General features: G+C 47.8%; 1 protein-coding gene across 7 annotated transcripts in view, besides 1 other annotated feature; it reads right to left on the minus strand.

The window, feature by feature from the left end:
* Nucleotides 1-20431, minus strand: part of FBLN5 (fibulin 5) — a 78284-nt gene that overhangs the window by 13458 nt on the left and 44395 nt on the right. For all 7 annotated transcript variants that reach the window (NM_006329.4, NM_001384160.1, NM_001384158.1 and 4 more), the window contains 4 exons: nucleotides 12082-12204; nucleotides 8353-8469; nucleotides 4325-4444; nucleotides 86-208 (listed from right to left, as the gene is read on the minus strand). In NM_006329.4, the coding sequence (NP_006320.2) occupies nucleotides 86-208; nucleotides 4325-4444; nucleotides 8353-8469; nucleotides 12082-12204 (483 nt within the window). The remainder of the gene's footprint in view (nucleotides 1-85; nucleotides 209-4324; nucleotides 4445-8352; nucleotides 8470-12081; nucleotides 12205-20431) is intronic.
* Nucleotides 14243-14756: an enhancer, noted in NCBI's record as "NANOG-H3K27ac-H3K4me1 hESC enhancer chr14:92363455-92363968 (GRCh37/hg19 assembly coordinates)". NCBI's record gives its function as "activates a minimal SCP1, AML or CMV promoter by ChIP-STARR-seq in naive H9 embryonic stem cells {active_cell/tissue: H9 hESC(naive)}" and the evidence as "EXISTENCE:reporter gene assay evidence [ECO:0000049][PMID:30033119]".

Consider the following 20431-nt stretch of genomic DNA (forward strand, 5'->3'; position numbering starts at 1 on the left):
CCCCAGGTGAGGATATCCAGATGAGCCCCTGAAGCAGCTCCACCTCACACATACACCCCAGCCAGGCCCCTCCGGACAGCCTTACCTTGGCAGCTTCGGTTGTCATCCAGCAGGATGTAGCCTGGAGGGCAGGAGCAGAAGTATGTGCCGGGCTGGTTCACACACTCATGTTGGCAGAGGAACTCAGAGAAGCTGCACTCGTCCATATCTGGGGTGACAAGTCACACCTGCTGTTTGTAATCCCAGTCTACATGGGGATGGGAGCTTAGTGGCCATCTACTCCAACTCTCACACTGTCTTGATACATACAATGGCTTTACTGCCAAGAAGCTGTCAATTCACTTCTCCAGCACTTCTAGCAATGGAGAGCTCACTACCTACTGAGGATAACCATTGATATTTGTACAGCTCTAATTGTCAGAAAATTATTTCCTACATGGAGCTGAAATCCACCTCCATCGAGCTTTCAACATCTGCCTCTCACTCGGCTGCACCTTCCATTCATTATAAACCTATTTCACCATGTAGGGGAATCCACCCTCCGCCTCTGACCTGCCTAAGGGGCTGAGATTTCTTTGCCCACTGGGATTTTCTGGGGGTTTCCCAAAAAAACATTCCCTGGCCCTAGAGGGCCCTCTGAAGGGGCAACTTTCGCAATGCCAACTCCCCTCCAATCACCTCTTTCCCCAACTTCAGGAACAATATTGTTCCTAAAGTCACAATTAAGGGACATATCCAAAAGGCCAGGATTTTAATTATATTAAAACTTCACTGTGTAAAAAAAAAAACAAAAAAAACACACACACACAAAAACAAAAACAAACAAAAAAACTGCCTGAAAGAGAAAACTCCGGAGTGGTGAGGGATGGGCAGGGATATAATTTTTCTCTTTGTGGCTCGCCTACCTCGGATCCTCCCTGGGACAATGGAAGCAGCAGCTTCCAGCCAGCCTGACGTGGAGGGGAGCCCCTGTCCATGTGATTTACAACTCATCCGCATGGGCTATGGCGGTTGATGCAGATGCAGAAGCAGACGTTCCAGAAAAGCCAACTCTTCATCACACACAGAGTTTGGCAACAGAGCCCCTGTTTGAGCCTCATTCGATAAGCATGCCAAAGAAAACATGTTGTTCTTGCATTTGTTGTTTCCCAAAAACTTGCTTTCACTAGTTTCCCCATGTGACATGTCCTCGGATTACTCTCTCACTCACAGACCACTGGTGGCTGGAGTCACCCAGAGAGGGTGTCAACGCAAAAGAAGCTGCCTCTCCACCATCAGATAATTCCGGGTGTTACACGCCTTGTGCCTCTCACATCCCAGAAGGAAAAACTCCTTCCTGTCTCTCTCAGGGGTCCTCAGGTGATGGGTTATCAGCCAGCAGAATTAGGATGCTGATTTGAAAAGTCACGTGTGCTCAGGTAATATCTGATTTGGTTGTGCCTCCCCGCCTCCCCTAGAAGCCTTGTAGAGCCCCGGGTCTCTGGCTCCAGCCCATCATAACTGACTGTCCTATTTTATTTCCAAGTTTGTAGATTCCACTCATACTTTCAGTAGAGTAGTAGTGATGTCTGTCAATTCCTGAGGCTCCCTATATGCCAAGCAGTGGGTTAAATGCTTTACATGCCTCCTCTTATTTAATTCTCACCTCAACCCCATGAAGGAGGTGCTATCACTCTCCATATTTTACAGAAGAAAAACTGAGACTTACAGAGGTTAGCTGACTTGACCAAGTTCACAGATAACCAGTAAGGAGGAAAGCTGGGACTTGAACCCAGCCTCTAGATCCTACACTTAGAAACACGACACTGTAACGTCTCCCTGAGTAACTGTGCTGAGGGATCAGCGGAGCTGGGGAGCCCTGAGGTTGGGGCAAGCACCCAAGCAGGGTTAGCTCCAGGGCAGATGGAGAGCGTAGCACCTACTCCCAACTCCCACTGGGCAGGGAGGGGCTGTAACAGACCCTACTCGGTTTATCTTTGGGTCTGCAATTCCCAGACTTTGCTTAGGGCTGTGGCTCCACCCTCCAGTGGAAAGCTGAAATACAAGCCCAGTTTCTGGCAGGGAGCATGTATTAGGCCACTTTCACTCCTCCACATGAGAACCCACCATGGTTTCCAGGAACAGCTCAGCTTAGCAAATCCCTGAGAGACAAGGCTAGGAGGGGTCTGGGGCTACACGGAGAGGCCACCCCAGCCGTGATAACACAGTGAGGATAACAGTGCCTGCGGAAATGGAGAAGTGCAGAAAGGGGTTAAGTAGGAAGGTGCAGAAACAGACTCTCTCCATCACCCTGTTATCCTGGGCCAGTCTGCTCTAGAAAGCCTACATATCCCGGGGTCACACCAAGTCTTCAGGAGGGTGTGCATCATGGAGAACATGGAGGACAAGTTGGCCATTTGGGGCAAAATGAGTCAACTGAAAATCTTGGCCAAATCGGCATGGATGTAAGCTTCTCAAGAAGCCAAAAGTCTCTTACACCTACACTTAGGGAAGATAAATTAACATGTAATGACTAAAACTCCACTGTGTCCAAAAAAAACCTCCTTGAAAGAGAAAAGTCCAGAGTGTTGTGGGGTAGGCAGGAATATTTGTCTCTCAGTGGCCCGCCTACCTTGGATCCTCCCTGGGACATGGGAAGCAGCAGCTTCCAGCCAGCCTGGAACCAGCCTGGAGCTGGGCCACCCTCTGGGCCGTGCCAACTTATTTAATTTTTGACCACTCTATGAGGGTGGTTGGTTGGTTGGTTGGTTGGCTGGTTGATTTTTTTTAATAAAGGATGAAACTGAGACTCAGGGAGTGACTTGGTCAAGAAAAATAGTAAATGGCAGAGCTAGAATTTGAACTCAGGTCCTCCAGGGTCACTCTACCATATGGCCTATGCAGTAGGGCAATAAACGTCTGCGGATTAACGGAGGATTCTGGAGAAACAAATCATCTCACCACATAATGTTGGATTTTCCACACTTCTTAGTTCCTTGGCCCCAACTCCCCAAGGAGTGCCACGGAGGGAACTGAAATCTAGGAAGAAAGTGGCTTTTCATGCCTGAGGGTATTTTATTTCTGTTTCTGGGCCTTGTATTTAATCAGCCCAAGGCTCTCTGGAACTTCCTGCTTGTGGCTCTGACTGTCCTGGCCCTAGGGAGAGGTGTTCATCTGTTTCATGGGACGCTGTCCCCAGAACACTTCAGTTGTCAGTGAGACTATCACACAAGTTCCATTCATGACCTGGGTCAGTTCCTGTTACAATAAAACCCGGATTAGGAAACTTTCCATTCTGCAGGACAGAAAGATTTTTCACGCCCTAGTGTATGGCCCACTTATTTTGAAAGCACAGTGAAGCATTATTAATTTAGACTTTGCAAATTCACAACTGCTGATGATGCCAGAAGTGGCTGAAATGGAGTGTACTTTAATCTAACCTTTACAAAAAACAAGGCAAGAAAGGAAAAGAGAGAGAAAGAAAGAAAAGGAGTTGTGTGTGGCCCTATGTGGGATGCTACAGAGATAAATGTGAGTAAGAGGTGGTCCCTATTCTCAAGGAGTTTACAATCCAATAATATTTTTCTAACTAAGAAAAAAAATTTAACTTTCTAGGGGAAAAAAAGAGGGAGTTAATAAGAAAATTATAATAGAGTCCATAAACTAGTGTGGGCAGAAAATCTTATTTCCTTGGGCTTGGAAGGAATTTATAAAAGGTCAACTAACCCATCATATCTATGTTCTCACAACAAATTATTACGATTTCATTCATTCAACATTCAATCATTTATCCATTGATTCGAGAACTATTTTTTTTTGCATGTTCCCTGGGTGCCAGGCCTGGAGTGAGGCACTGATTATTTGTAGAGATTTCAGAAGTTCACAGAACATATGTGCTTCCATACATGTTCTCATTCATTCAATGTTCCCCCCAACCCTACCCGATAAGACATGCTATTATTCCTGGGTCACTGCCCTCTGTAAGTACTTTCTGTGATATCCCCAAGACTTGAGTCGGTGCTGGGTGAGGACAGACAGCTCTCAAACCAACATGCCAAATCGGGTGACTGCTCTCCCTCTTCAACCCCACCTCTGTCCTAGAAGGTAGCCCCATTAATTTTTGCATCAAGGGTCAGATGACAAGGAAGATGAGACTCCACCTCACCTTTTGGGAAGTGACTCATCTCTGTTCTGTGTGATTCTGACCCCACTGCCCTGGAGGATGTCCCAAACTGGACATGTGTCCAGGAAATGAGAGGAAACACCTATGAAGGAAGCCCTTGCCCTTCAACCCCTGCCCAGGCCCCAAGTACAGGTGGAAGTTTCCAATGCGAAAGCCCATTACCACTGCAATGAACGCCATCTTCCTCAAGTTCATATCCTGGGTCACAGCGGCAGATGAAAGAGCCGTAGGTGTTGACGCAGGTTTGCACGCAGGGGTTCTCGGTGGCACACTCGTTCACATCTGTGGAAAGCCAAGGCACATTGCTGACTGTCCTCCCAACAGAACAGCCACAATAACTAGGCAGAAAAAGCACCAGCAACGAAATCTACCACCACCAGGAGACCAGAGTCCCAGGTACCAAGGCTCTCCACCCAGGACCTTTGGGAGCATGATCTTAGATCCAAAAGTGTTCACTTAAGGACCGGGGCCTCCATCCACATGTCCCTTCTGGGGTCAAAAGTCAGGCAAAGTGGAAACCATATGTATACACATGATATAAACATATACACATATACACCTGCTGGTAAGTCTATGCTCCAACGCACCCCCCCAACCAGGAATTTCCAGGCAATACCTGCTCCTTCCATCACCGGTTGCATTCCATCAGTGAACACCCCTCACCCTCACTGACTTGGAAGTTTCAGGTTAACAAATAACCATGATGATTCTAATAATATATTTATTATGCATAAATAACTTTGCTCATTAGGGAAGGATCCTGCACTCACTTGATCCTTACAACGAGGACCATTGGCCCACTTTAGAGGTTAAGTAGGTTAAGGAGAAGACCACCAAGGGACACAAGGACTAATGGGAAATCCATTATCTTGAGTGTGGTGGTGGTGGTTTCATGCGGGTACACGTATGTCAAAATTAATAAAATCATGGTGCAGTTTATTATACACTGACTATGCATCAATAAGATTGTTTAAGCATTTTTGAAGGACCAGGCATAGTGGCTCATGCCTGTAATCCCAGCACTTTGGGAGGCTGAGGCAGGTGGATCGCTTGAGCCCAGGAGTTTGAGACCAACCTGGGCAACATAGTGGGACCCCATCTCTTCAAAAAATTTAAAAATTAGCCAGGTGATGTGGCACACGCCTGAGGTCCCAGCTACCCGGGAGGCTGAGGAGGGAGAATCACTTGAGCCTGGGAGATTGAGGCTGCAGTGAGCTGAGATCATGCTACTGTACTCCAGCCTGGGTGACAGAGTGAGACCCTGTCTCAAAAAAAAATAAAATAAAATTATAGGCTGGGTGCAGTGGCTCACACCTGCAATCCCAGCACTTTGGGAGGCCAAGGCAGGTGGATTACCTGAGATCAGGCATTCGAGACCAGCCTGACCAACATGGTGAAGTCCCGTCTCTACTAAAAAAATACAAAAAAATTAGCCAGGCATGGTAACAGGTGCCTGTAATCACAGCTACTTGGGAGGCTGAGACAAGGGAATCGCTTGAACCCCAGAGGCAGAGGTTGCAGTGAGCTGAGATCACGCCACTGCACTCCAGCCTGGTTGACAGAGCTAGACTCTGTCTCAAAAAAAAAAAAAAAATACATATATATATATATACACACACACACAGACACACACACATATACATATAATTGTTTTTGAAGATTGAGAGGTGTACCCAAGTCCACCAGCTAACAAGGACACACAGTGGGAACTGGAACATGAGTCAGGGGTTTTTCCACAAAAACCAAGATTCATTCTGCACAGCTCATCGTGCGGGGAGGGCAGGGAAGAGTCTCTTTCCCACTGGCATTGGTTGACCCATTGTAAGCACCATCCCACAATGCTCCATACACCAATGGCCAAAGTTCCAACTGAGAGATTTTCTATCCTCTTCCCAAGTCCATGTAAACCTCTTAGGCCTCTGAAAAGAGATGTCAGTGTTTTCAGAGCTAAAAGCCTTCACGGTGAGCAGACTGAGAGGCTTTTCTTACAGGGGAGGCTAATCCCATGGCCACAAAGTTCCTGCCTCCTAGCATCTCTGGAGCTCTCAGGGAGAAAACAAATAAATGAACAGCTGTAGAGAGAGGGTCTAGCAAGACACTGGCCCCCACCAGTGCCCGTGGGAGGTTGGGGTTTCCCCACCGGGGACAGGAGGGGGTAGGAAAATGTCCACTGTGCTAAGCCACTGAGTGCAAGTTCAGACAGGACAGTGCCGGCAAGTGTTAGGGCTGGTGGCCTCAGCCTCTGGCCAGGCGCTGGCCACTCGGAGGTGAATGAACTCATTCCACCCCCTCACCGCTCTCAGCTGCTTCTGAAGAGCAGGGCGACCAAAATGATTCTGCCCCCCTGGGGTTCTCACTGCCCTTTCCTGCCAGCCCTTTCCAAATGCCCTTCTGAATCTGCTGAGGGCACACAGGGCCCCACTCCAACCTGTTGGACAAGAAGTCTGGGCCCCTGGTTTTACTCTCAGATCTGCTACCACGTGGCTGTGTGACTTTGGCCAAGTTGCTTAACCTTTTTGAGCCTTTATTTCCTCAGTGAAGCAGAGCCACAAACACCTGCCTGCTGACCTCAAGAGGCTATTTATTATTTGGGTTCAGTGAGATGAACAGACGTGACAATGCTCTAGCGTGTACAGCACTCTTCCACACACGAAGAGTCAGGATTGCAAAAGCTCACCGGAGTATGCGACGCCCTGTGCTGCCCATGGGCCCTGCTGATGCAGCATCCCAGTGGCTGAGTGCCCATACCCAGGCCTGGGTGCCGGGCCTGCTGCTTTATTATGCTGTGGACTTGGCACTGCCAGGTGTATTATCTGCTCTTTGTCACACACCTGTCCCTCAGAGGCCTGAAAGACGCAGGCACCTTTTGGCTTGGGCATGGCTATGCCTCAGGAGGTACTGGGGGCACGGTGCCAGCCTGTGGCTGGCACCTCCAATCCCAGGCCTTGGCACAGAGAAGCCTGCATCTGCCCTAAGCTGCTTATCACAGCAGCAAGGGAGCCAGGCGCCCCCTCCTGCTCCAGTGGGAAGGAAGGGCCCTTGTTTATCCGCTTCCTCAACCTCCTGGCCTGGTGTCTACTCTCAGAAGAAAATGACCTCTTTTGGCGTGAGGAACACAGTCCAGAATTCTTGGAACAATTAGCAGAACAAGCTTTGGAGGAGAGACTTAGAAAGAATCCAGGGTCAAACTCTTTAACACTGATGCCTTCCTATTTACCGATGATTTAGATACAATTAAAGTAAAGGAGACCTAATAGCCTCCAAACTCAATGGCCAGGAGCCTGCCAGCCAGAACTCCAAGGGTGAATGAAACAAGGAAATGGGCCCTGCAAAGCCTGAGGTCTCCAGACAAAGACCTCATTCTGCGTCTGCAGCACTGCCTCCAACTCCAACCTGGGCCAAGCAGCTGCCAGGGGCTGGAGGCCTGGGCCGGGAGCTGGAATTTGAGGGGGAAGTCGGGGGCCAAAGCAGGATTTGCGCTAATTCCTTGGGTCTTAAGTCCCCCATTCACTTCCTGAGCAGAAGAAACCTTCAGATGGAAACCACAATAGGCATGCAACTTGTTTTTCTTACTTATCAGTATTTCAAATGATCATGTGAAAACCACAAAATGCCTTTGTTTCAGTCTGGTTTTGTGGGGGCACGCTGAGTAGCAGGGGATGTTACCACCACCACCAGACCCTTTGCTGAGGAACAGGCCATCCTGGCACAGGTTGGAGGGAAAAGTATAGCAAGAGACCTCAGAATCGCCCACGACACCCCTGCCTAGCATGGATGTGTTTATTTTATGATTCTTGGAGGGCCAGGGACCCTGACCAACCCTCCTCAGGCCTCAGGAACTGAACTTAGGCTACAGGACATGCAACCAAATTTCTGATTAGGCAAGAAAGCCAGCAAGGCTACTTCTGGATAGCAGACACAGAAAAGAAGCGAATCCATGAAACTGTACACTCCCAGCCAGTGGAGGATTGGGGTCCTACCCTCAGCCATATTCAGAGCACTTTTTGAGATGCTTCGCATAGCAAGGTTCAGGTCTCACGTTTCTGTAGTAATGGGGATGGGCGGGCAGTGGCAAGGAATGGGAATATACTGTAGCAGCAGTATTTCCCACAAACATAAGCTGCCAGGTGCTGAAGAAGGCTGCAGCTAGTGTCTCACATCATGTCCAAGTTATCATGCACGTCACATACCTTGGCAAGACCTTCCATCCTCATTGAGGGTAAAACCAGGGTTGCATGTACAAGAATAGGATCCAGGAACATTCGCACAGAGCTGCTGGCAGTAACCATAGCGACATTCATCAATGTCTGGAAACAGAAATGCAAGCAAAGTGAGACAGGTCTCCTCACTCAATGATGCCCCCACTAGCATGGCATGATTGCCTTGCTCTTCCCAAACAGGATCATGAACGGAAGCAAATGGGAACAGGAGCCAAGACAGTGCCTACTGAGTGTCACGGATGGTGATGCTGTCTCGAATACAAGGCTCAATCTCCCCACAATCTTTCCCCTCCTCGACCCATCTCAGTCCCATAAATACCTGAACCTATCCTAAAAGTTGCAGAAGAAATTTCTGCTTCGATTGGGATGTTGGGCAAAATGAGCTCTCCAATTTTACCCAGCTCTAAGATTCAACACTAAGGTTTATCCAAGATGGACTCTCCAATTTTTCCCAGCTCTAAGATTTGAGATTACCCAGCTCTTAAGATTTATCCAATGTTAAGATTCAACTCAAAGATTCCATATAGAGGCTCCACTGCCCAGGATTCTTCTTAACACGTAAGAAGAATCCATAGCATCACTCCAATAGGCTCCTTGCCAGCTCCATGAACAATGAATATGTCCAGCTGTCAGGAACAAGAGCCAGTTAGGCTGGGATGAGCTGGGCAGCATGACCCTGGAGACCCATGAATCCAGTAACATGAGGGCACTGGAATTCACCCTGAATCTCCTCCTTGCACCAGAGTGAACATAAAACTCTGGATAAACACATCTCTTCCAAGCCACAGCTGGCCTTGCCAGGGAAAGCGGCGGCACTGTGGGTGAATGGATCCTTTGAGCAGAGCTGGGCAATGTGACCTCCCTGTAATATGTATCCATCAATGGGGAGCCTGATGTCATTGGGAAAGCACTTCTCAACACCCCAAGCTGATGTGATAATGGGCTGGAGAATTCATTCCTGTGGGGTAAGGGTAGTGAATGAAATCACCGGCCTCCTGGCAGAGTCTGAGATGGCACCAATACAGGCTCCTGCTGTGACCAGTTGATCTGACTGTAGCTGGAACTGGTCCTTATCCCCACCTCCCCCAATCTAACCAGGTTTCCTCCCTGGTCCCCCTGTTCCTTTGGAACCAGGGGCCATCCAGGACTCTGGAAGCCGGCTTAGAGCCTCAGTCCTTGTGCCTGGTTTCTACCTACTGCCAGGAAGGACTCCACCTCCCAGATCCATCTTGATCCCTTACCTATTGTTCAGCCCTTCTCAGATTCTGTGCCCTGTCCTGTGATTCTGTTTTGTCTCTAAGTCCCGGCTACTTCTAACCTGGCCACTGCACTGCCCCTGAGTGCAGAGCAGCTCTTGCATAGAGGGCCCATTGGCTGTACAGTGGCTGGCCCTGACTTCTTCCCAGAGTGCAGTTGGGCACATCACCAAGGCCAGGCAGGCAGCAGGGGCTGGAGAGGGTACCCTTCACTACGGGTACCTTGGAAAAAAGGCAGCCCCCCTGACCCCTCATTTTTCTGCAAAAGCAGCATCTTCAGTGGTACACAGAACAGACAGTGTGTGGCTATGGAACTTGCATTTTGAAAGGGAAAGGTGAGTTTAGCCAGGGGAGGGCAGGAGTTCAGCCATAATTAGGCGACGTCTTCCTTTCAGATGTGAATATGAGTGGCTGGGCCACATGGTACCATGCTAGGCATCCATGAGCATCCTTTCCACAGCTCCATGCTCCCAGGAAGAGAACAACCCTCCCAGGTAGAGGAATGTCCGAGTTGCTGGCACCCCTCACATCAGAGGGTTTCTGTAACAGGGCTGGTATAGCCCGGTCTCCCCCTACCACTCCAGCGCCCCTTGTGGTGGGAAAAAAAAACTAGACTGAGACACGGGAGACTTGGAAGTTAGACCCAACTCACTTTGTCTAAAATGTTCTTTCTCTATGAGTCTCAGTCTGCGATGCTATAAAAGTTGGATGACATAATATTCAACATCCTTTCCAGCTCTGAAATTCGACATATTAAGTTCCTGTACAAATAACTCTCTGTCACTGATCTGCTTATGTTCAAATAAGTAGCATCAAATTTTCCATTATAGCAGAGGTTGGTTTGAATGCACAGTGACTGTCATATTCACAGACGCCCATGTGCAAGCCTGGAAAGGAGAATCAAGCCAATCTAGGCCTCAAGGATGCTTCGGACGGGGCTTGAGGGCAGACCTACTCAGCCTCAATCAAGAAACTTAGAAAGAGGTAGCTTTTCTTTGTTTCCATGATTTCGTTTGGATCTGTTTCTCAACTCCTCCAGGACTGACTTTCAGGCAACAGAATGGTGTCTTAGAGAATTTAAACTGGCAGGGCCTTTTCTAGAAAACACAGCATAGAAATCACACCCTAGAATTAGAAATTGAAGTGACAGCTAGAGTTTGCTGTGAATTCACTCACTTGGCTAAACCCAAAACTAGAGGGGAAGAAAGGAAAATAACCTTCCAGTAAAATAAACAGAAAGATCAGAGAGCAGATGCTAACTGCAAAGGCAGTTCTCAATTGGTGATGACTGACTCCTCAGGAGTAAAATGGAAGGCCATAGCCGGTGGGGTGGGTGTGGTGGTTGGTGGCGGGGAAGGGCAAAGACAGGGTGTTGAAAGGAACTGATGTAAGATCAGGATCTACTGATCCACATTCAAGACTTGCCACATTTCTGTGACTAAGCGAAAGTGTTCCCTTCTCTTAGCATTATTTCTAACTAAAGCAAAATCATCCTCACCTCTGTCACTTCCTGGCCTGGATATAAACTTCGTGAAGACAGGAAGAAAGTCAAGGTAAAATCAAACTTAAAAAATACATCCAAAACCATAGCCCTTAAAAAATATATTTGAGGCTGGGCATGGTGGCTCACACCTGTAATCTCAGCACTTTGGGAGGCTGAGGCAGGCAGATCACTTTAGCCCAGGAGTTCGAGACCAGCCTGGCCAACATGGCAAAACCCTGTTTCTACAAAAAATACAAATATTAGCTGGGCATGGTGGCACATGACTGAAACGCCAGCTACTCACTCAGGAGGCTGAGGCAGGAGAATCACTTGAACCCAGGAGGTAGAGATTGCAATGAGTCAAGATCGTGCCACTGCACTCCAGCCTGGGCAACAGAGGGAGACACCATATCAAAAAAAAAAAAAAAAAAAAAAAAACCGAAAAAAACCATTCAAGGCCGTGCGTGGTGGCTCACACCTGTAATCTCAGCACTTTTGAGGCGGGCAGATGACTTGAGCCCAGGAGTTCAAGACCAGCCTGGCCAACATGGCAAAAGCCCCATTTGTACAAAAAATACAAAAATTATCTGGGCGTGGTGGCACATGCCTATGATCCTAGCTACTCGGGAGGCTGAGGCAGGAGAATCACTCAAACCCAGGAGGCGGAGGTTGCGGTGAGCCGAAATTGCGCCATTGCACTCCAGCCTGGGGGACAGTAAGACTATGTCTCAAAAATAAATAAATACATTCAAAAACTATAATGATGACAAGATGGCGATGATGGCAATTGATTTTCAAGGGTGGTTACACATGTGAGTTCAATAGCCTTCCACCCCTCCCGCCCTCCCTAGCAAAGAAAAGCTTACTACCCTCAGGCAGCCAGCTATGCCCATACCTCAAAATGCCCCTGGCAACCGTTAACTTCCAAGAGTCCCTGTGACCCCCCCAGAGAGCTGTTACCTAAGCACTGGCCTTCCAGAAGCCAATATCCGTCGGTGCAGGAGCAGGTGTACCCGCCTTCAGTATTGATGCAGATCTGGGTGGGGTTGCACTGGTGGGAATCTGTTGCACACTCGTCCACATCTGTAATACAGACATAGTCCAAAGAATGTCACTCACATCCATCTAGAGCCCTGGAGCCACCAGGGGTGCCAGTGGCTCATCTTGGCTGGGAGGCAGTTAATAAGGTCACTAGGTTACACCCAAGGAGGTGGCAGTGCTTCCCCGATGGGCACCTCTAGGAGACACTGACCTCTACTGAAGGCTGAGCTAGTCTGCTCACCAGAAATCCACAAAGGGAAATGGCCAAGAAGGGAACCCTTATCCTCAGGAATCCTTCTGCCATCCTATGCCATTGCTCTTTGAAGGTGCATTACCTTGACAATAACCATTACTTGATTTAGAAAGCCATTTTGTATTAGGCTTGTTCATTCATATGTTAAACAGGGGTCTGCTGCGTACCTACTGTGTGCACAGGACTATGATAAACACCACTGAGAACAAAACAGAAGTAAAGGAAATGTCCCCAGCTGGGCATGGTGGCTCACGCCTGTAATCCCAGCACTTTGGGAGGCTGAGATGGGTGGATCATCTGAGCTCAGGAGTTCAAGACGAGCTCAGGCAACATGGTGAAACCCCGTCTCTACTAAAAATTAAAAATTAGCCGGGCCTGGTGGCATGCGCCTGTAGTCCCAGCTACTCAGGAGACTGAGCTGGGAGGATCGTTTGAGCCCAGGAGGTGGAGGCTGCAGTGAGCCGAGATCGCACGACTTCACTCCAACCTGGGAGACAGAGTGAGACCCTGTCTCAAAAAAAAAAAAAAAAAAAAAAAAAGTTCCCTGCCAACAGAAGCTGGCAGTCCAGTTGCTTAATGGTATTCACCCGTGAAAATCTTTCGGTCTGAAGCTCTCCAGTCTTCGCTCCACTCCATAGTTCCTGGGGCTAATCTCTGTCTGTCCTCTGCTCACAGCAAGTCTCTCTATGCTGCTCTAGAGCCCACTGCCATCTGTCTGGTGGCATGAAGATACTTGCATCCACCTCGGTCCCTTCTTAACTTAGAGCTTCAGAGCACAGATATCGAGCCATATTCATGGTCATTCCCAAGCCATCTGGTGTGGACAGTCAGTGCTCAAAACTGTTTGTTGAAACTGAAACATCCTCCTCCCCTTTCTCCCCTGCACTGCACTTTAGGGGAGAGCGCCCAAGATCCTGAAATGGACCTCCCGATGCCACACTCTCACTTTGACCTAAAGGAAGAGACTTTTCATTAAATATTCACACATTAATTTACTCCACAAGGATCCACGGTGCCTCCTGGATCTGCCTGGTCCAGAGGACCCCAAAACCTTTTCTCCTTGTCAGCCCTGCCTTCACCTGCACCTTGGTGGGTCACCTTCCCTCCCCTCTTCATTCCTGCATCAGGGTTTGCTCATCTACACCTTTTCTCCACCTTCACCGAATGGACCATGGTGCAGTCGGAAGTAATACTGAAAGCTGCAATTCACTGAGCCTGTGTTATGTGCCTGACACCTACCTTGTTACTTGTATTTACTCTCACATCACCCTGTGAGGTGGGCTCACAATCCCCATTTTACAGATGGGAAAACTGAGTGGAAAGAGCTAGTAAGCACCAAGCCAAGAGCTGAGTCCAGGCCTCCCTGCCTGCCTGACTCTAAGTCTACTCCGTGCAGGTCTAACAGAGGTCATGCCACCCAGGACCAAGCAGATTCAGGGGGGAGCTGGCAGACTGGGCTGAGGGAGGGCTGAGCTTTTGTTGCTTTTTACTGACCCCACTCCCACGCTGTCTGCCTCCTGACACTGCAGATTGCAGACTTGATCATCATCCATTCAGTTGGCTTCTTTGAATACGTACGGTGGGGATGGGGGTGTCTAAGACCCAAAAGTGCAAGCTCCTTGAGGGCAAGGGCCTTGTGTAGCATAGGGCTTTGTGAGCTTCAGTAAAACGTTCAACTGGGTGAGCAGTGGTCCCTCGGCTTCAGGTGATATGGCTACAAATCCACCATCCACCTGCAACAGCCCAACACTAACAACGCTGATCAGTCCCCACCCTACCCCAAAATGACAGCTGTCTGGGAATCCTATGGAAGTGGCTTTCCCTCCTCTAAACATGAACGACCTCCAAGAACCTAGTGCCAAGATGACGGCAGCCTCCACTCCACCCTGATGTTAAGCATGTGCAGCCTCAGTGGCAAAGACCCAGCCCTGTTCTCAGCTGCAAGGACTCCAGCCTCCCCTTTGCCTCCCTTCCATGCAGCTCTGCCCACCGAGCACAGCCTCCCAGGGGAGCTGGTGAATAATGCTTGGCCAGAAGCTGCTCCTGCTCAAATCCACAGTGAAGTCTATGACAATAAATAGTGCCACTATCGGCTGGTGCGTATTTACATTTTCCCAGCAGGGAGTGATGGATGGCAATTGTGTGCTGGGAACAACACTGCCTTAGGAATTTCTGTTCTTTTTCCTGCCTTGAGGGGAATGAAGGGTGAGGGTGACCAACACAGGAGAAGAATCACTGGAGAGGCTTGGTGGCAGCAAGTTCCCAAGCCTCTGTGCTTGCGTAATTTGCATCCCACACAACTGTGCCTGCCAAGTCCTACAGAGAGAAACCAGACGCATGCCAGCAGGCCAGGCTGGACTCAGAAGGGCACAAAGGGCCCCATCGTGGGCATGTGTGCGAAGTATTCAGGCCGAAGATCAAAATCCTTGAAGTTCACTCTTTTAAAAACTCCAGCACTTTTACTGAACTAAAGAATTAACTCAGCCAGGCGCAGTGGCTCATGCCTGTAATCCCAGCACGTTGGGAGGCCAAGGTGGGTAAGATTGCTTGAGTCCAGGAGTTTGAGACCAGCCTGGGCAACATGGCAAAACCCTGTTTCTACTAAAAATACAAAAAATTAATCGGGTGTGGTGGCGCATACCTGTAGTCCCAGCTACTCAGGAAGCTGAGGTGGGAGGATCACCTGAGCCCAGGAAGTTGAGCCTATGGTGAGCCAAGACTGCACCACTGACCTCTAGCCTAGGCAACACAGCAAGACCCCATCTCAAAAAATAAAAGAATTAACTCAGTTATACGACACTTTTGTATTTGTTTTGTTTAAAATACAGATTTTAAAATTAAAATTTTAACTTTCACTAACTTGTTTAATGAATTGTCAATAGAAACTATATTTTGAGACGTCAATAAGTCCCTGAAGTTTTTTTTGGCGGGGGGGGCGGAATCTCTCACCTTTATAGCCTGAAAACACACCTGGTGTAATGCTGTGTCCCTGGTAATGTTCAAGAACTATTGAATGAATGAACACATGAACGGCAAACATCAATCCCTCGCAGCCCCCAGAAAGGTTTTTCCAGCCAACTAGCTGACAAGCCCATTTGGGTGTGTGTACTTTAAAAACAGCCACCACCACGCCAACCACTGTCAGCTTACACACCTGATGGAGCTAAAACTGGAAGTGTTCACACGGTGGGCTTTCTCGGGGGGAGGCTGAAAGACTCATCACACATTCCAGCTCACAGCGGAACTTCTTACATTAAATACATTTGACTTAAATCACAGAAGGAAAAATACATTGAATCACTCCAAGGACATTCTTTGGCAGGGCCTCCCTTTCCGCATCAGTGGAAAAGTACAAGCTATGACAACCTGAGCAAGGGTCAGTATCCTCATGGGCAAACAGGGTCTGCTTTCTTTTCCTGTGCAGTAGTCAGGAAGAGTCCCCTAAGAGAAAAGAATGCTGGGTGCATTCAATCCTTTATTCATTCACTTGCTCACTCATTCATTCATTCATTCTTTTTTTTTTTTTTTTTTTTTTTGCGACGGAATCTCGCTCTGTCGCCCAGGCTGGACTGCAGTGGCGCAATCTAAGCTCACTGCAAGCTCTGCCTCCCGGGTTCACACCACTCTTCTGCCTCAGCCTCCCGAGTAGCTGGGACTACAGGTGCCCACCACCACGCCCGGCTAATTTTTTTGTATTTTTAGTAGAGATGGGGTTTCACCATGTTAGCCAGGATGGTCTCTATCTCCTGACCTCGTGATCTGCCCGCATCGGCCTCCCAAAGTGCTGGGACTACAGGCATAAGCCACCGTGCCCGGCCCCCATTCATTCATTCTTTATGCTCTACAGCGGCTGTGTGTTCGTGTGTGTGTGTGTGTGTGTCCTCCCCAGCCTCCATGACCTTTGGAAGAGCTGGCATCAAGCATATTCCCTCCCGCTGTATGGTACCCAGAAGCAGACTTTACTGGGAGTTCTCTCATCTCCCTGCTCCCTCCTGGCTGCTGTCACACCAGTCGGGTGCCTGGGCACTTGGAGGATTCTGCCACAGCAACCATAGCTTGGCTCCCCACAGGTGAGGCAGTGACTATCTGCTGCCCAGATGACCAGCACCCTGGCAACTGGAGGAAAGCGCTCACCAGCTCTCCCAGAACCTGGAAAAGCCCAGCACTGCCCCTGCCAGGAAGAAGTCGTCATCTGCATCAAGCAGCACAGCTCTGGTGACCTTGCAGTCTCACCTGCACTGGCACCTCTCCCTTGAGACATCCACAGAGTGGCCTTCTCAATCTGAAACAACTGCTCACTTAGGAAAGTCATCAAAACCCATCAATATCACCTCCTCGATGCCTTCCAAGGAGGCCATAGACAGAAAGGGCTTTCAGGCCCCAGGACAGTGGCCTACATATTTGGGAAACTCTTTTAGGATTTCATACCCTTAGCTATGTCTCACATTCCCCAGCCAGACAGTAAGCTTTACGTGGGCAGATATGCAAAGACAAGGGGAATAAAGGGATGTCCCTCAGGCTGGTGTGTTTTAAAGGAGTAAAAGAATGTCCTTCAAGTACAGAAAAGATCTTACAAAGGCACCAGATGAAGAAACTGGCCTCAACACATCAAAATACAACTGTCCAACAATCTCGGGGACAACAAAATGAACAGAACCTTCCATTGTGACTCACGGACAGCACAGGAAAGGGCCACAGCCCACACATCTGCTGACCGTTCCAGTCCTTGGAGCAGGACTCTGCAGAGGAAGCCAGTGGTGATTGGCACTCCTCTCCTTCACTGTATGGAGTTCTCAGACAGCTTCGTGGGTATTACATTGTTGATTTATGCCCATTTTATGTCCTCCCCTTGGGAGTGGGCTGGTTCTCAGAAAACATCACACAACCCACTTTTCTATCCCATATAAAAGTAATGGTTCCAAGTATGATCTTAGTATTAACTCACAGATTATTAAATAAAATCTCTATAGGCAGTTATAACAGACTTAATATATCACATTAAATATGCATAAATATGTTCAAATATAAATAACATGCATATGTATGATAGCTATGTGTTATATTTGAATGCACATATTATATACATATATGTATTTACAGTTCAGCATTTATTCCTGAAAGTTGAAAATACTTTGTTTTCATAACACAAATTCTAACAGAAATAAAATGTCCTTTAAAAACTGTACAAAACAAAACAAAACACTAATGGTTCCCCATGCCCATAGGGAGAACATTTTCTAGGTCATTCTCCAAGCACCAAAGTTTAAAAGAAAAATACACCAAAGGGCTGAGAACTCCCCAGAAAAGACTAGCAGGTTAAAGAATAAGAACTTTGGGAGCAGACAGAGCTGGGTGTGAATCCAGGCTCCCACATTTGGTAACTAAATAAGGCAGGGCAATTTACTGGATCCTTGGGTGTTCTGCAACAGGGCTGATGTAGCCTGCCTCGTAGGTAGATGTGAGAGTTCATGAATTAACAGGAGCACAGGTGCCAGCCTGACTGCCTGGCACATAGCTCCCTTCCCCGGGGAGGTGCTGTTTCTGACAGCTGTGGAAGATAGAAGAAGGTTGGTCTCTGCCTCCTGCAGATGCTGTTCTAGAATTCACTAAAGACACCAGGATGACAGCCCAGGGGTTTCATGGGCTATAAGCATGGTTAGTTCTGTGATTCAACTACAGCCAAAGCCAGGGACTTCTCCCCCTTGAGCCCCAGGCATATGGCGGGAGATCTGGACAAGAGGTAAGGAAAGCCAGGGTACATTCCTTCATGGAGTCTCCATCTCCACCTCTGCACCCAGGCATCTCTGGGCCCATCTATGATTCTATAATTGTAGGCATCCAAAAGCATAAAGGTACGTGTGCCTAATGGCCATGTATGATCAACCTTTTCACAATCTGATTCTTGCCTCTTCCCATGCCTTCTTTGCTCCAATACTGTGAACAGGCAAGGTCTGACTTTGTGAGCCTGTGTACCTAACGTCGGCTGAATATCTCAGTTCTTGTGTGAGAACGGCCATCAGCCAAAGGGAAACATTCTCACTGGGTGACACTGGGAGAAGCTTTCCAAGAGCCCTTGGAAGACACACCTTTCCAAGGCCTCCACTCTTCCTTTTTTGGATATGGCAAAAATCATTTCCTTGGTAGTAAATTTTTACCCAGTGAAATAACATGTTTTCCCAGCCCATTTTTGTTCCTTCCTTGCTCAAGCTAATGGGGCTTGATAAGAAAGAAGAAAACAACAATGGCACATTCCTACACCTCCAAGTGAAGCCAGTTTCAGGCCTGCTGCTGGGCTGGGTCGGTGCCATTTTTCAGCAAGACGAGCCCAGCCAAGGCTGGAAGCTACACAGGACCTACTTCCCAAACACCTGTTTAATTAAAGATCTCAGCGTTGGAGAACTCGCTGTCGAATTCCTAGGGCATCTGCACTCCATGTGTCTTACGGTCCTGGCCAATCTCTAGGAGCCAGATCTTTCTGTGTTTACAGCACTTTCCCCAGCACTTGAGATTAAGCATGGAATACAAAGTTTGTTCATTTTGCGCCTCTGATTAGGCAACAAATATGTGATCCATTTTCCAAACAACAAAATATCCTTCCCTCTTGAATGAAACCAGCTGGAATCCAGGTCCCAACCTCTCCATGGATTCTCTTTCTCTATCCCTAAAGCGAGAGCTGGAGGAGAGTTCTGAAAGGCCCCTTCAAGCTATGATCTTCTACAGAGACAAACTATGCAACTAATGGAGATCACATTGTTTGGTTCTTGGGTAATTACTTTCATCCCCAGAGCACTTGGTAAACATCAGCTGACTTTAGTTGCTTTCAAACTGGGCAGTGAATTGGCCAAGCCCATTCAACTTTTGCCAGTGTATGGTCCCTGCCACGGGGCCAGGGGAAACACATGTCCTCTTGAGCATCATGCATCAAGATGTCCTGAGAGGAAGGGGACAAGTCATGTCTAATGTCAATCTAGACATGGGTTTTTTTGTTTGTTTGTTTGTTTTTTTTTTTTTTTTTTCAAAAAGCCATGAGGCTTTGGCCATTATCATGAATGTAAAGCAAACAGACGTGGAGTTCAAACTAGATTTCCATTTACTAAAATTTTTGCCATTTGTCTATCGACAGAAATTTTGGAATCTTTAGAAGCCAGTAGTTTCCAAACCTGGTTACCCAAGAGAATTGCCTGACTAAATCAGAATTTCCAGGGCTGAGGCTTGGAAAGCTGTGTTATTTTAATGACACATTTTACCTAAATGAATCCAATGCAAAACTGTATCTAAAATCCACTGTGCCAAATCAATACTTCTCAAACTTTAATATGCGTATGACTCAGTGGGGATCTTGTTAAAATGTAGATTCTAATTCATTGGGTTCTACAATCCTAACTAGCTCCCACATGAGGCCAATGCTGCTGGCTTAGGGACCACACTTTGAGTAACAAGGTGCTAGACTGTTCCAAGTGGGATTTGGTTCTGTATCCATGCAGCCTGCTCAGAGTTTCAGAAACTATTAGGTTGGTGCATAAGTAACTGCAATATTTAAGAGAGTCTAAGAGGGAATTTAAGTTTTCAAAAATCAAGCAGCATGTTCACTTATAAGTGGGAACTGACCATGAAGATGGCCACAATAGACATTGGGGACTACTAGAGGAGGAAGGGAGGGAGGCATGGGTCAAAAAACTAACTACTGGGAACTATGCTCAGTACCTGGGTAATGGGATCCATCATACCTCAAACCTCAGCATCACACAAAATACCTAGGCAACAAACCTGCACATGTACCCCTGTATCTCAAATAAAAGTTGAAACTATTTTTTTTTAATGGGGAAAAAAATCAAGCAGCGATTCTTAACTGGATTCTTCTCTCTCTAAGATAAAGCCTGCTGGTTATAACAGAGTTGTTATTTTTGGAGTCTTATTAAAGACTCTAGCACAGTCTAGCCAAAACAGAATGCTTTTCTGGTGTACGGACAGAGCCTTTCTTTAACTCCACCCTGTAGTAGTTGGGTGCCTATGGCT

Source organism: Homo sapiens, chromosome 14 (genome assembly GCF_000001405.40).
Source record: "Homo sapiens chromosome 14, GRCh38.p14 Primary Assembly".
NCBI classification, from domain to species: Eukaryota; Metazoa; Chordata; class Mammalia; order Primates; family Hominidae; genus Homo; species Homo sapiens.